This window comes from Homo sapiens, chromosome 12, assembly GCF_000001405.40.
Source record: "Homo sapiens chromosome 12, GRCh38.p14 Primary Assembly".
In the NCBI taxonomy this organism is placed as follows: Eukaryota; Metazoa; Chordata; class Mammalia; order Primates; family Hominidae; genus Homo; species Homo sapiens.
Window position 1 is genome coordinate 30,735,511 of NC_000012.12, and position 15,805 is coordinate 30,751,315.

The 15,805-nt window shown below is 37.5% G+C and overlaps 1 protein-coding gene across 97 annotated transcripts in view; it reads right to left on the bottom strand.

The window, feature by feature from the left end:
- Positions 1–15,805, bottom strand: part of CAPRIN2 (caprin family member 2) — a 45,399-nt gene that overhangs the window by 25,958 nt on the left and 3,636 nt on the right. For all 97 annotated transcript variants that reach the window (NR_169636.1, NR_169643.1, NR_169638.1 and 94 more), the window contains 2 exons: positions 15,561–15,623; positions 5,510–5,596 (listed from right to left, as the gene is read on the bottom strand). Coding sequence is in view for 58 of the 97 variants with exons in the window: in NM_001385535.1 (NP_001372464.1) it covers positions 5,510–5,596; positions 15,561–15,623 (150 nt within the window). In the remaining 39 variants the exon portion in view is untranslated. The remainder of the gene's footprint in view (positions 1–5,509; positions 5,597–15,560; positions 15,624–15,805) is intronic.

Consider the following 15,805-nt stretch of genomic DNA (forward strand, 5'->3'; position numbering starts at 1 on the left):
AACATTTTACTCTTTCACATTTATGTGTATCAGTCCTTTTTGGACCTTTTAGGATTTTTTTTAAATTTCATATTCCAGGGGAAAAAATATTTAAACTAAAATGGTCAGTTTTAATGAACCAAAGAAGACTGGCTAAAGCATAAGGGGTTGAAAAGCTAACAGACATAAAATGTCTTCCAAGTGTAATGCCAAAAACCAGCCACAGCAAACATGTTATTTTGTTTCAGAAGTAAAATTAAAAATTTTTTAAATAATAATTTGCCCTGTCAGTCTGGACAGAGCTACATCCTCCAATATTTAGCTGACAAAACAGATACAGAAAATCAATGGAGCTTAAGTTTTCCCTCAGGCCAGGCACAATGATACACACCTGTAATCCCAGCCCTTTGGGAGGTCGAGGAGGGTGAATCACTTGACCCCAGGAATTCAAGACCAGCCTGGGCAACATGGCAAAACCCCATCTCTACAAAAAATACAAAAATTAGCTGGGCATGGTGGTGTGTGTCTGTAGTCCCAGCTACTCAGGAAGCTGTGGTAGACAGATTGCTTGAGCCCGGGAGGTCAAGGCTACAGTGAGTGGTGACAGTGCCACTACACTCCAGCCTGGGCAACAGAGTGAGATCCTGTCCCAAAAAAAAAAAAAAAGCAGTTTCCCCTCCAACAATTTGTGTACATAGATTGAGCAGCCCTAGATCTGCTCTAAAGCTTAGAACTATAATACCTTAAAGTCTGACATAATATTCATGGGTCCCAGAAAGGACTTGCATTTAACTAAAAACTACTATCTCTTTCCATTAAGAAACCTAAAAGGTCTTTTCCCTCCATAGTTTTTGATTGTAACGTTTCCATCATATTGGATATTCCGCAAGGTATGAAGATTAAAATACAAAAAAAAAAAAACCACTAAGATTTTTCCTATAGATGGGTCAAAGTACTTTGATATAGCATCGATATTTTAAATTATATAAAAGAGATGTTCGTAAATCCTAACAGATTAAAATTAGGGGGAAAACCTCATGAAAAAGATTCACTGTGGCATAATTAATCCCTTCCTAGGGGATGTGGAAGCAACTTAATAAATATGATTTGTGCTACTGCTAGGGACAGAAAGATAGTAAGTGAAGATATAAAATTTTCAGAATGAGAAATAGACTGGTTGAAGGTTGCATGGGCAAGCACATTTTCTCAGATGGGAAAGGCTCAGTAAGGCTTTTTGCAAGACCTCAGTATAGACTGCATCAATAACACTTACCAAAACTACAGGATTCTCTGATCCTGCTTGAGAGAAGAAAAGAGGACGGAGGTGGCACTCCTAGCTCTCCAAAACACTGGAGTTTCTCATGGTATAGGGAAAAGCAACTGATTCACAGGGCATCTTCAGACAATTATACCACATGATTATCTCAGATTTATCTTTGGCCAGTCTCCCAAGGTAGGACTGGGTGGTCATATGGGCTCATGCCACCTTGAACTTCCCCTATCAAAGTATTTTTGGGTTTTTTGTTTGTTTTTGAGACAGAGTATCATTATGCCATCCAGGCTGGGGTGCAGTGGCACAGTCAAGGTTCACTGCAGCTTTGACCTCTTGAGCTCAAGTGATCCTCCCACCTCAGCCTCCTGAATAGCTGGAACCACAGGTACATGCCACCATGCCTGGCTAATTTTTTTTTTTTAATAGAGATGAGGTCTCTCTATGTTGTCCAGGCTGGTCTTGAACTCCTGAACTCAAGCAATCCTCCTCCCAAAGGGCTAGGGTTACAGACGTAAGCCACCATCCCTGGCTATTTTTTATTTATCTGCATCTATGATGACAGGGACTATATCTACTGTTCACCAATATTCACTAACGCCCAGCACAGAGTCTGACAAATATCAGGGCCTCAAATTTTTGTTGAATAAAATCAAATATCAGGAAAGTCTCCCAGATCACAATCAGGTGTCATGAAAAGTCATGGACAAGAGCCAATTTCTCCTTCTTTAGATGAAAATTAGAAAGGTGGGTTACATTGTTCTCTTTTTCCAGTTGAGGACCAGTTTGGAAAGGAAACCACTCTCAATCAGTAGTACTGAATGATAAAACTGGTTTTCTTTTTTTTTTTTTTTTTGAGACGTAGTCTCACTCTGTCGCCCAGGCTGGAGTGCAGTGGCACGATCTCGGCCCACTGCAAGCTCTGCCTCCCGGGTTCACGCCATTCTCCTGTCTCAGCCTCCCGAGTAGCTGGGACTACAGGCACCCGCCACCACGCCCGGCTAATTTTTTGTATTTTTAGTAGAGACGGGGTTTCATCATCATAGCTAGGATGGTCTGGATCTCCTGACCTCATGATCCGCCCGCCTCGGCCTCCCAAAGTGCTGGGATCACACACGTGAGCCACCGCGCCTGGCCGATAAAATTGGTTTTCTTAATCGAGACTCAGAATGATGAATCCCTACCAGGAGACAGAGCTCATGAGGACAAAGCAGAATGTAACAAGGTCGAAAAGAAGGACTTCCAAATTTACTTTGAAGGGAAAAAAGAAAATGTTCCACAAACTGCAAAACTGGCTATCATAGAACATGTCTGACAAAAGAAAAACTTAAAAGAGGAGCCCAAAAATTACCAGGTAAAATTAAAAAAACCTCAAAAGTACTGCCAAGCACCTTTCAGGGTCTTGATTCAGTAAGGCAACCTCCAAAGTACTTTATCATGTCACCTAAAATGAAAGTAAATCTCAAACACAGGCAAGTAAAAATAATTTCATGGATATTAACAAAATTTGGTGAGTTGGGAGCTACCTCTAGACTACAGCAGCAAAGAAAAAAAAAAACAAAACAGATAAGACACTATATTCACGATATAGAGAAAAAGTACCTAGGGCCATATCTTGGCTCTACCACTTACTGGCCATATGACTTTGAATAAGTTCCTTTTCCTTAAATGTAAAACCCAAAACTATAAAAACCCTGTAAGATAACCTAGGAAATACCATTCTGAATATAGGAACTGGCAAAGATTTTGTAACAAATATGCCAAAAGTAATCAAAACAAAAGCAAAAACTGACAAGTTAGATCTAATTAAACTTAAGGGCTTTTATGCAGCAAAAGAAACCATCAACAGAGTAAACAGACAACCTACAGAATGGGAGAAAACTTTTGCAAACTATGCATCTGACAAAGATCTAATATCCAGTATCTATAAGGAAGTTAAATAAATTTACAAGAAAAATAAACATTAAAAAATGGGCAAAGGACATGATGAATAGACACTTTTCAAAAGAAGACATACATGTGGCCAAAAAGCATATGATAAAAAGCTCAACATCACTGATCATTAGAAAAATGCAAATGAAAACCACAATGAGATGCCATCTCATACCAGTCAGAATGGTTATTATTAAAAAATCAAAAACTGACAAATGCTGTCAAGGTTGTAGAGAAAAGGGAATGCTTACACACTGTTGATGAGAGTGTAAATTAGGTCAACCATTGTGGAAAGCAGTGTGGCAATTCCTCAAAGAGCTAAAACCAGAACCACCATTTGACCCAACAATCCCATCACTGGTTATATATCCAAAGGAATATAAATCATTCTACCATAAAGACACAGGCATGCATATGTTCATTACAGCACTATTCACAAGAGGAAAGACATGGAATCAATCTAAATGCCCATCAATGATAGACCAGATAAAGAAAACGTGGTACATATATATCATGGAATACCATGCAGCCATAAAAAAGAACAAGATCATGTCCTTTGCAGGAACATGGATGGAGTTGCAGGCCATTATCCTTCGCAAGCTAACACAGAAACAGAAAGCAAATACCACATGTTCTCACATATAAGTGGGGGCTAAACAATGAGAACACATGGACACATAAGAGGGGAACAATACACACTGGAGCCACTTGAGGGTGGAGGTAAGAGGAGGGATAGGATTAGAAAAAATAACTATTAGGTACAAGGCTTAGTAACTGGGTGACAAAATAATCTATACAACAAATCCCCATGACATGAGTTTAACTTTATAACAAACCTGCACATATAATATACCCCTAAACCTAAAATAAAAGTTTTCTTAAAAAGAATAAGTCGCGCATGTAATCCCAGCTACTTGGGAGGCTGAGGCAGAAGAATCGCGTGAACCCGGGAGGCGGAGCTTGCAGTGAGCCGAAATCGTGCCACTGCACTCCAGCCTGGGCGACAGGGCAAGACTCCGTCTCAAAAAAAAAAAAAAAAGAATAAGTTACTTTTGCTCTGAGTCTCAGATTCCTGATCTGTAAAATTGGACTATTTATAGCAACTTCCCAGACTATTGTAAAAATCAAGTGGAGCTGCATAAGTGCCTGGCACAAGGTAGGCATTTTTTACACGTTTTTAATCTAAAAAGAAGAAAAGAATACCATATATTAGAAAAATATAGGCCTGAATGAAAAACTAAATTGTTACTGGGTAACTCTGAGTAAAGACAGAAGACAGAAAATTTTAAATATCATAAAAGTATACTTCTAACCATATTTGTAATCCTTCTTAGCCAAGAATTAGGATGGTAAATGTCTCCAGCCTAGAAGAATTTTTCTTTATTCCAGAGGAATGGAGAAGAGAATTTTAGTTCACTATAAAGAAAAATAGGCCAGGGCGACTGCTCACACCTGTAATCCCAGCATTTTGGGAGGCCAAGGCAGGAAGATCCCTTCAGCCCAGGATTATAAGCCTCCAGAGAATTATGATCACACCACTGCACTCTAGGCTGGGTGAGAGAGCGAGACCTTGTCTCTAAAACATAATAAAAAAATATAAATTTTTTTAATGAAAATATCCAAAAAAATAGAAGAGATTATCTTATGAGGCATGCTCTCCTCTCCAGGAATGAATTTATTTAAAAATTTCCACAATTGTTGGAACTTGACCTTTAAAGGACCTTCTAGTGCTGAGATTTGAAAAAGTAAAGAATACTTCACTGAGAAGTGTTTAAGACTTCATATTACTGATTAAATTTGTCAGAGATAAAATTTTGAACTGCCAACATAGAGAACCTAACAAGTAGTGAGGCCAGATTTAACTCTATTTAACATGAGTCATTAATTTTCCCATCAATAATTTTCATGCTTTCAAGAAGACTACCAACTCTGTTGTCTCATATGTTAAATAATGTGAAAGAAGCCTATCTTATATAAATTTACAAGCCTATATTCTAAAATATCTTTAATAAATATACCTTGTCAAAAGTTTGATTCCCTGTGTCAATGATTTCTATAATTCTGTAATTAAATAACATACATTAGATAACTAATGCTTTATTCACAATGTCTCATACTCAGATGCCATTTGTGTTCTCCCTTGAGACTACAGAAATCTGAAAAAACTAGTTCTCCAACAGTTATCCTCAACCTTCCATCACGATAAAATATCAGCAGAAATTAGAAGAATAATAACCAAACACCATTACTAGACACTGACACACTGACATTTTCTCCAAGATCAGTGGTTAAAACTGGTTTCAGGAAAAGCAAAGAAAACATACTCACATCTAGGCTCAACCCAGAAAAGGTTTTTTGAAGCTCCTTGGCAAATTCCAAATTATGTAGCACTTCTTCATATTTCTCTACAGCTTCCTACCAAATAGGATAAGAAAACATAAATTTTGTGACTGTTTAAGTATAAATATGTGAAAATAATGTTTCTTAAATACAGTAGAAGAGATTTAAGATCTTATGGCTATTTACTATACATACACAAAAAAAGTACTTGCCTAATGAAAAAGGAGAAAGAGTATTAATACCAGTTTTATTAAGTTGCATTTAAAAATTCAATTCTAATGCCAGAAATTCAATTTTTATATTAGAAATATGAGTCCTAATTTTACCCCTATAAAGTCTAAGATCAGAAAGGCCTGTTGGTTTTAATAGCACTGAGCCAATAGGATTTCTCTGTTAATATTCATTCACTACTCAAACATATTACACAAATAGCACGGTGAGTATCAGAGAGATGAACAAGCAACTTCAAGACATTTATAATACAGTGGAAAGATTTAGAATAATTACCTGTAACAGACAAAAATAAATATTATAACAAACAATATGCAATGTCCTACAGGAAATTTAAAGGAGCAAAACTTTTTTTTAAAGATTTCCCAGATAAACAACATTGACAGAAAAGAGGGGGGCATTTCATGGGACTTTAACTCAAATCTATACGGAAGAGAAAGGACCAATCTGAAACAGAACAAGGTGGAGAACCTGTGCAACTGGATAAATACATATTATAAAGCCTCAGTAATTAAAATAGTAAAGTATTACACTCCAAGGTATCTACCCAAAAGAAATGAAAACATGTCCACATAAAGACTTGTATATAAATGTATACAGCAGCATAATGGCCCAAAATGAAAACAATCCAAATATCCAGCAACTGGTAAGTGGATAAACAAAATGTGGTACACCCACACAATGGAATACTAGTCAGCAATAAAAACCAATGAAATACTGATACATGCTATAACATGGATAAACCTCAAAAATATGCTAAGTAAAAGAAGCCAGATGCAGAAGACTATTTTATGTGAAATGTCCAGAAAAGACAAATTTTTAAAGATAGAAAGTAAATCAGAGCACAAAAGAGAACTTTGGGGGGATGATAGGAATACTCTAAAATTAGACTGTGCTACCAGTTCGATAACTCTACAAATTTACTATAAACAAATGTACGCTTAGAATGGGTTTACTTTGTGTTAAGTATATTATACCTCAATAGTGTTGGAAAAAACAGACTGATATTAAGTCTTTATAAAGGTACAGAACAATAGGAACTCCTATGTAATAATAACAGTATTAGTATAAATTGGTACAATAATTTTGGAAAACAGTTCAGAATTTTTACCTATGAAGTTAATCATGAGCATGTCCTACAGCCTAATGATAGATATGTACCCTGAAAAAAAATCTTACTCCTGATTCTCAGTAACACCTAAAAGATTCCTCAAAGTAAAATTCTTCAGTGACAAAAAAAAACCCCAAAACTTCAAGCATCCATCTATTCAGACACTAAAACTAAGTAGAGAGAACCAAATACAGGCACTTGTATTGATATAAAAATACTAAATATAATGAGTGAAAAAAGCAAACTGCAGAATATATAGCATGATACCACTTTCTATAAGGTACAAAAAAAACACAACTCTAACAGGGCAGCAAAAAAAAAAAATGGTCTTAAAAGCAAGGGAAAACTTCAGGGTCATGGTTACAGGAAGGAGAAGGTACCACATGAGAAAGGAGCCTCAACACTGTTGGAAACATACTATTTGAGTTGAGAGTTGGGATCTGGTGCTTGCTTTATTATGTGTTTTAACTTATATGGAATATATTGTTTCAGCCATATATTTTATAATAAAAACGTACAGAGATCTTCCTGCTACAGAAACAAGAATGAGCAGATAACATTACCAGGATACACAGTCCTCAGAGGGATGTAAAACTATAAAGAAATACTCCATATCTACTCCCAAATGGTATTAACTTTGATTCAAGAAAAGCAGCATCAGCTGGGAACTACCTCAACTTTCCATCATCTAATGTAGACCTATCCTTTCATTTTTCCTTTCTTTACTAAGTGAAGAAGGTATCCCCCCTCCCCCCGCCCCCGCTTCTACCTGTGCCCTGGATCCTACGGAATTGTGCCTTCATACAAAACTTTACTTTAGGATTCCGTCTTTGATGTCTTCTAACAAAGAGCTGCTCCCTCTCTATTGATGCTTAAATCAGCATTTTACAAGCTCATGTCATCCCCAATCTAAACAAGAAAAATTAGTTCTTCTGTGACAACTACTTCCCTCTAGCATTACACAAATTCAAATGTGTTTTCAGTCTCCAGTTCTTCAGACCTCATCAACCTGGATTCCGTTTCTACCATTCCACCAGAACTGTTTTAGCTGAAGTTAGCAATTGTCGATGCCATCCCTTAAAGCTGTGGATCTTTTATAGCTCTCATTTTGGTTGACTTAGCAGCAGCCTTCAACAAAAAGGCACACTCCTGCTCTACAGACATTTCTTGTTTTTACTAACACTGAACTTCCATTTTTCTCCCATTTCTCCAGCTGCTTATTTACTAGCAATTTTTCCATTAGCTTCTCTCTCACCTGCTTTTAGCACCTGTAAAATAGGAGTAATAGAACCTACCTCACAAAGATGCTGTACAATTTAAATGACTGCATATGTATAAAGCACTCAGAATGATGCCTGACCCTAATAAGCACACCGCATTTTTAGCCATTATTGTCCAAACATTAAATGTCAGAATTCCTCAGGATTCTGTCCTAGGCTTCTCTATTCTGCCTTCTATACTTTTATCCAAGACAGTCTTATCTCCTCTAATGGTTTCAAGTAGCGGTCATACAGGTGATATTTCTATCGGCTAAACTTCTCCATGCTCCAGTCTCGTTTACCTAAACAGCTGGTACCAGACACTGATGTCTCCCAGGCACATTAAAATCAGTAGTACAAAATTGAGCTCTTTATCCTACTCCATCCTCCCAAAACCTCCTTCTGCCCCAGTGGTCCCACGTTTAATAAATGGTTTTGCCATCCATCCACTGTTCAAGCAAGAAACCTGAAACCACTCTCAGCTCTACCCTCTACTCCTACATCCAGTCACCAAGCCATGCTGATTTTACCTCTCAAATCCAGCTACTTGATTCAAGTTCCTCTGCCACTGCCTTAGTAGGGCTCCCATAATCATTCACCTACACTACAGGCAACTCTTTTCTAATTTCCTTACATCCATACACTATCTCCAAACCATACTTCACATTGCAAAGTGATTTTTTTAACTAAAAATCTGTAGTTGTTCCCTGCTTAAACATATCTGTACCATTTCTGATGCCTTTGGGAAAAAGTAATTTTCAAATGGTGTACAAAGACCTACCCCCTCCAGCTTCATCACCCATCCACGTGACCTTCTTTACAGTTTTTGAAAAAGGCTCTTTGTAAAAAACCAAAAATCTGTTCCTTCTCAGAGCCTTTACGCATGCAAGCATCTGCCTAGCCTTCTGTTCTTCTTCCTCCCTCCCCCCTTTCACTGGCTAAGTCTCATTCATATTTTAGGTCTTAACTAAAGTTCTTCCTTTCCTAAGGAAGCTGGCCTTAACTCTCTAGACTAGGATGGATCCTGCATTACAATCCCTTATCATCCTATACTTCACCTTCTTAACATCCATCATATCTGTATTTGCTTATTCCCCACTCTCTTCCCCATTACATTATAGACTCCATGTGGTAATGATCACATTTGTCCCCTAGGTATTATAACCCTAATATTAAGTACAGCACCTCCTAGAGTAGATACTTAATATATCTTGTTGAATGAATAAAAGATAGTTCAGATGATCTTAGAGAGCATCAGATATGGTCAAGATTCTGAACAATTTAAAGCTTTTGAAAGAAATCATATACTGAGAGCTGTTTCAAGAAAAAGACACCACGGACAAGAGGACTGGTGAATTGAAGGTAAGATCTCAAGACAAGGATATCAACTAGGAAGCGTATGTAAAGTTTAGGTGGCTTGCCTTGACTACGCCGATAGCAGTGGAATTACAAAAGAGGGAAGATTCTACATTACTTATTGAGTTTACTACAGATGTATTAAATGTAACAAGGGATCACAGTTCAGCAGCAAAAACAGGTACCACATTCTAATTCTTTAACAACAAAAACTTTGGTAGAACCAAAGACATCAAGTTCCCTTTGCCTGTTGCTTGAGAATTCACTTGAATCTCAGCTCTTTATTTCAAATCCAGATCGGAACCAAACATACTAAAGTTATAAATGTAACAATTTAAGTTATTTAAATTATAAAGTTATATTAAATTACAAGTTAAAGTGACTCCACAAACAACTTCATTAGACATTCTTTTTACTATTTGAAAAGAGAAACCTATGCTACCAATTTAACATAAACCTTATGTAGCTTAGCCTTGACAGATCCCTTAAGAGTTACTACTTCAAAGAGGCTGCAAGAGCCATATAGAACATTACAAGTTTTATTTACATTATTATAAGTACCTGTTGGGTTAAAGAAGAAAATCAAACTAAAATTATAAAACTTATCACAAATAATATTGAAAATACAATATCAAATCAAATACAACTGAACCAGTGCTTGAAGGAAAATTCAGTCTTCAAGAAATTTTAGAAAATTTTCACAATTTGAAAAAGCAAATAACCAAAAACAAAAAAGCAGAAAAATTTTTAAAAAGTGGAATAAAGTAAGTCTAAAAGCTGATTTTGGGTGGGGGGGTGGAATATGCCCCTAGATAATTTAAGAGTAAACTAAGGAAAGAAAACCACACAAAATTATAAAGTAACAACAGAAACAAGCTGTATTAAAATTTTATTAAAAACTACTTGGCCCTAATCTATGCAAATAAATTTTAAAAACTGAATGAAATAGGTGATTTTCAATGAAGTTTTTAAAAACTGATGCCAAAAGAAATCTAAACAAAAATCAATCTCCAAAGAAAAACATAGAGCATATTTTCAAAGAGGTCCCACCTCAAAGAGAAGCAGGCACAGATAGTTTCTCACACAATAATTCAACCAAACTTTAAAGACCATGTATAGTGGAAACACTGCCACGATATTAAAAACAACAACAAAAGAATTGGTGAATGAGTAGATGGAGCACAGAGAATTTTTAGGGCAGTGAAAGTATTCTGTATGATATTACAATGGTGGATACATTTGCATTCAACAAAACCCATAGAGCTGGGTGCAGTGACTCACGCCTGTAATCCTAGCTACTCAGGAGGCTAAGAGGATCACTTGAGCCCAAGAGTTCAAGGCTACAGTGAGCTATGATATTGTGCTATTGCACTCCAGCCTGGTGAGAGAGAGACCCTGTCTCTTAAAAACAAACACACACCGACAAAAACCACAGAATGTACAGCACCAAGAGCGAACCCTAATGCAAACTCTAAACTACAAACTTTGGGTGATGATGATGTGTCAACGTAGATTCATAGAAAGTAAAAAATGTATTTCTCTGATGAGAGATGGTGATAGTGGAAGAGGTTGAGCTTGTGTGGGGTGAAAGTGCTACTCCAGTGAACACATGAATAATAAGAAAACAAATGCTATTGCTGACGTGCACAAGATTTGAGTGGTATTCCCTTAAGTCAAAACCTAGTCTAGAACAAGACCCTAACTCTCTTTTATTCTGTGAAGGCTGAGAGACTGAGGAAGCTGCAGAAGAAAAGTTGGGAGCTAGCAGAAGCTGGTTCATGAGGTTTAAGGAAAGAAGTCATCTCCATCACATAAAAGTACAAGATGAAGCAACAAGTGCTAATGTAGAAGCTGCATCAAGTTAGCCAGAAAGTCTAGCTAAGATAATTGATGGAGCTGGCTACACTAAACAACAGATTTTCAATGTAGATGCAAGAGTCTCCTATTGGAAGAAAGTGCCATCTAGGACTTCCATAACTAGAGATGAGAAGTCAATGCCTGGCTTCGAAGCTTCAAAAGACATGCTGACTCTCTTGTTAGGGTCTAATGCAGCTGATGACTTTAAGGCCAATACTCATTTACAATTCTGAAAATCCTAGGACCCTTAAGACTCATGCTAAATCTACTCTGTGTTTTATAAACAAAATAACAAAGCCTGGATGATAGCACACCTTCTTACAGCACTGTTTACTGAATATTTTAAGCCCACTGTTGAGACCTATTGCTCAGAAAAAAAAGATTTCTTTCAAAATATTAATGCTAATTGACAAGGCACCTTGTCACCCAAGAGCTGTGATGGAAATACACAAATCAATGATGTTTTCATGCCTGATAACATAACATACATTCTGCAGCCCATGGATCAAGGAGTAATTTTGACTTTCACGTCTTCTTAAGAAATACATTTGGCCGGGCGTGATGGCTCACACCTGTAATCCCAGCACTTTGGGAGGCCGAGGCGGGCAGATCACCTGTGGTCGGGAGTTCGAGACCAGCCTGACCAACACGGAGAAACCCCATCTCCACTAAAAACACAAAATTAGCCAGGCATGCTGGCACATGCCTGTGATCCTAGCTACTCAGGAGGCTGAGGCAGGAGAATCGCTTGAACCTGGGAGGTGGAGGTTGCGGTGAGCCGAGATCGTGCCATTGTACTCCAGCCTGGACAACAAGAGCCAAACACCGTCTCAAAAAAAAAAAAAGAAAAGAAACACATTTAGATAAGGCTAGAGCTGCCATAGATAGTGATTTGTCTAATAGATCCGGGCAAAGTAAATTGAAAAGTTTCTGGAAAATATTCCCTACATTCTAGATGTCATTAAGAACATTTGTGATTCATGGGAGGATGTCAAAATATCAACATGAACAGGAGTTTGGGAAAAGCTGACTCTAACACTCGTGGATGACTCTGAGGGGGTTCAGAACTTCAGCAGAGGAAGTAACTGCAGATGTGGTGAAAATAGCAAGAGAACTACAAGTAGAGCCTGAAGATATGACTAACTGCTGCAATCTCAGGATAAACTTTTAATAGATGAGGAGTTGCTTCTTATGAATGAGCAAAGAAAGTGATTTCTTGAGATAGACTCTACTGGTAAAGATATTATGAACATTGTTGAAATGACAACAAAACCTTTAGAATTTTACATAGACTCATAGTTGATAAAGCAGCAGCAGGGTTCCAAAGACTGACTCCAATTTTGAAAAAAGTCCTACTGTGGGTAAAATCCTATCTAACAGCATCACATACTACAGAGACATCTTTCATGAAAGAGAGTCCATCAACGTGGCTAATTTCACTGTTGTCTTAAGAAACTGCCACAGCCGCTGCAACCTTCAGCAACCACCACCCTGATCTGTCAGCAGTAATCAACACTGAGGCAACACCCTCCTCAACCAGCAAAAAGATTACAACTCACTGAAGGCTCAGATGACTATTAGCATTTTTTAGCAATAAAATAATTTTTAATCAAGGTGTGTACCTTCTTTTTGACACAGTGCTACTGCACACTTAACAGACTACAGTATAGGACAAATGTAACTTTTACATGCACTGGGAAACCAAAAATTTGTGTGACTTGCTTTATTGCAATCTTCACTTTATCATGGTGGTCTGAAACAGAACCCATAATATCTCTGAGGTATGCCTATACTGGTAACAATTCTCTGAAGATTCTATTTTTTTTTCCTTCTGACTTATCTGCATTTTCTAAATTTTCTACCTTATATATTGCATGTATGAGGTGTGATTTCTCAAAAGTACCACCAACTACGTGCTTAGTTACATCTAAAGACCTAACATTCATTTTATACTTAGTAAATCTATATGTAATAAATATTTTATATACCTACTACATGCTACACTCTATTCTACGCACTAGGAATACAGCAATGAACAGACAAAATCCTTACTTTCATGGAACTTACATTGTAAGGGTAGGAAACAGACAAAATAAAACTTCATAGCTTGTCAGAGAAGTGCTAACTTCTATTAAGAAAAATTAAGCAAGGAAAGGAGCTAAGCAGTGTGAATGGGGAAGTGGAGGTATAGTGAGGTGAGAACAGATCTCACTGTGGGTACCTTCAAATAAAAGGCTGAAGGAGGTTGGGAATTGAGCCACTGAAACATCTGGAGAAAGAACATCCCAAGCAGTAGGAATATCACGTGCAAAAAACCCTGCAGAAGTGTGCCTGGGATGTCTGAGGAGCAGCAAGGAGGCTAGGGTAGCTAGAATGGAGCTAGCGAGGGAAAGAAGAGCAAGAAATGGAGTCAAAATGTCAAAGGAAGTGGGAAGGATATTCTGTAGGGCTTTGTAGACACACTAAGGACATTTTACCACCAGAGGGGAACAAATGGGGACTTCTGAGCAGAGGAATAACCATCTTGACTTGCATCAGTACAGGATCACTGAGTTTACTACGTTGAACAGACTTGGAGAGGGCAGAAATAGAAAAACCTGTGAGGCAGAAGTAATTACTACTATAATAAGTAACGCAGATGAAAGGTTATATAGCCTAGATGAAGATGGCAGAAATGGTCAGTTTCCTCATTTATCTTAAAGGGAGAAGTGAGCAGACTTGCTGATGAGCTAGATGTGAGCTATGAGGAGAAAGGAGATAAATTCTCCAAGATTTTTGGCAACTCCTGCTAGTTGATCAAGCCATCAACTGACATAGCTAAGATTAGAGGAGGAGCAGGTTTTGGGGAACAGGGAAAAATTATGAAGTGTCGGATAGGCAACTGGACACAGAAATATTGAGTTCAGAGGACTGATCTGTTGGCAATATAAATTGGGCAGCTGTCAGAGTATTACTCCAGATATCAAAGTTCATACATTTATTATAGAAGCAACATGTGGCTATAAAGACAGTAATGAAATACTGAGAATGAAGTTTGCCTGGCTGGAGCAATGAAATATAGCATGTCTTTAACATTTCTTAGAGAGCTACCATGGGAACAATCAATCTCCAACCCCCTCTCCCCGATGTTTCTTAAAAATAAGGAACACAACTCTAACAGGACACTTCATTCAAGAATATTTACACACAAAAAAGTTTTATCACTTTAAGAGTTATTGAACACACCGTGATTTTAAAACAAAGCTATGCTGAAATGCTGCATGTCCAGCTAAGCCCTCTCCCCAGCTAAGTGAGCGCACCATTTGCAGAGCTCACACAATTCAAATATGTGTCTCAGCAAAATTATAACTTACTACATCACAAAAATTCTGGGTCAGTGAAGAGGAGTCACTATGGAATGGGAAAAGTCCTTGAATGTCAGTATCTATGATGTATAGCGAAAGATTTCAGTTGAAAAACATAAAGACAAAAGACCCACAAACAAGAGGAAATAATTTTCAAATAAATGTGTCCCTTCTTAGCCAGGAGACATGATCAAGTCAAAATGGCAAACATCCACGAAGCACTGTTTTCTTTCCGCGCTGCAAAAACTCTCCTTCACAAATTACATAAAATTTGCAATTACCAGGTATATCATTGAGAAGTTAACCGATGGAAAAAAATGCAAGTAGCTTAATGTTTATAGTAAGCTTTTTTTTTTTTTAAAGGCCAGATATCTATCAGATAATATGCCTCCTGAGAGGGCACACGAAAACCCAGGATAGAAAAGTAGGAAGAGACCATGAAAGGAATTAAGGTGAGGCAGCTAGAGAAAACTAAGGTAAGCTACAGTAAATATTCTTTCACATTCTGGAGCAGAAAGATGTCAGGTTTAGAATATACCAGTGAAGAGCTGAAAGGTAGAGTATGCCTTCTCTTCTCCTTCAGTCCACTCTGGCACATAAGTTTAACTTAAATCTGTATGTTAACTCGTAGTGACAGTCTACACTTTCACTCCTGTTAACAATCTACACCCCCATGCGTACCATCTTCTAGTCAACAGAACAAAAAGTCATATCTGAGATCTAACAGGCACAAACAACAAAGTCTTCTGAAACAGTTTTGAACAAACTATGGATTTTAACTGTGTGTGTGTGTGCTATAAAGACTGATCGCACTAAATCCATGTAGTTTTATTAAGAAAAGAAAACCAGCAAGTCTTACTAAAAGATCATAAGCCACTTACCAACTGGTCTGGATTAAGATGCTCTCCACTTTTCAGGCGATCCTTATAATCCTCCAGTTTGAGCTACAAAAGAGAAACTTGTATCTACCATAGTCTGACATAAAATTCAGAAGCAAATAAAGTAAATGCCAGATCTTGTCTCTAGGAAACAAAGTCCTTGAAGTAAGCTATCAATCTGCAAGACTATCATTTTACTATACGGCATGCAGCAACTGTAGATGAGTTCCAGTCAGGGGAGAAAAAAT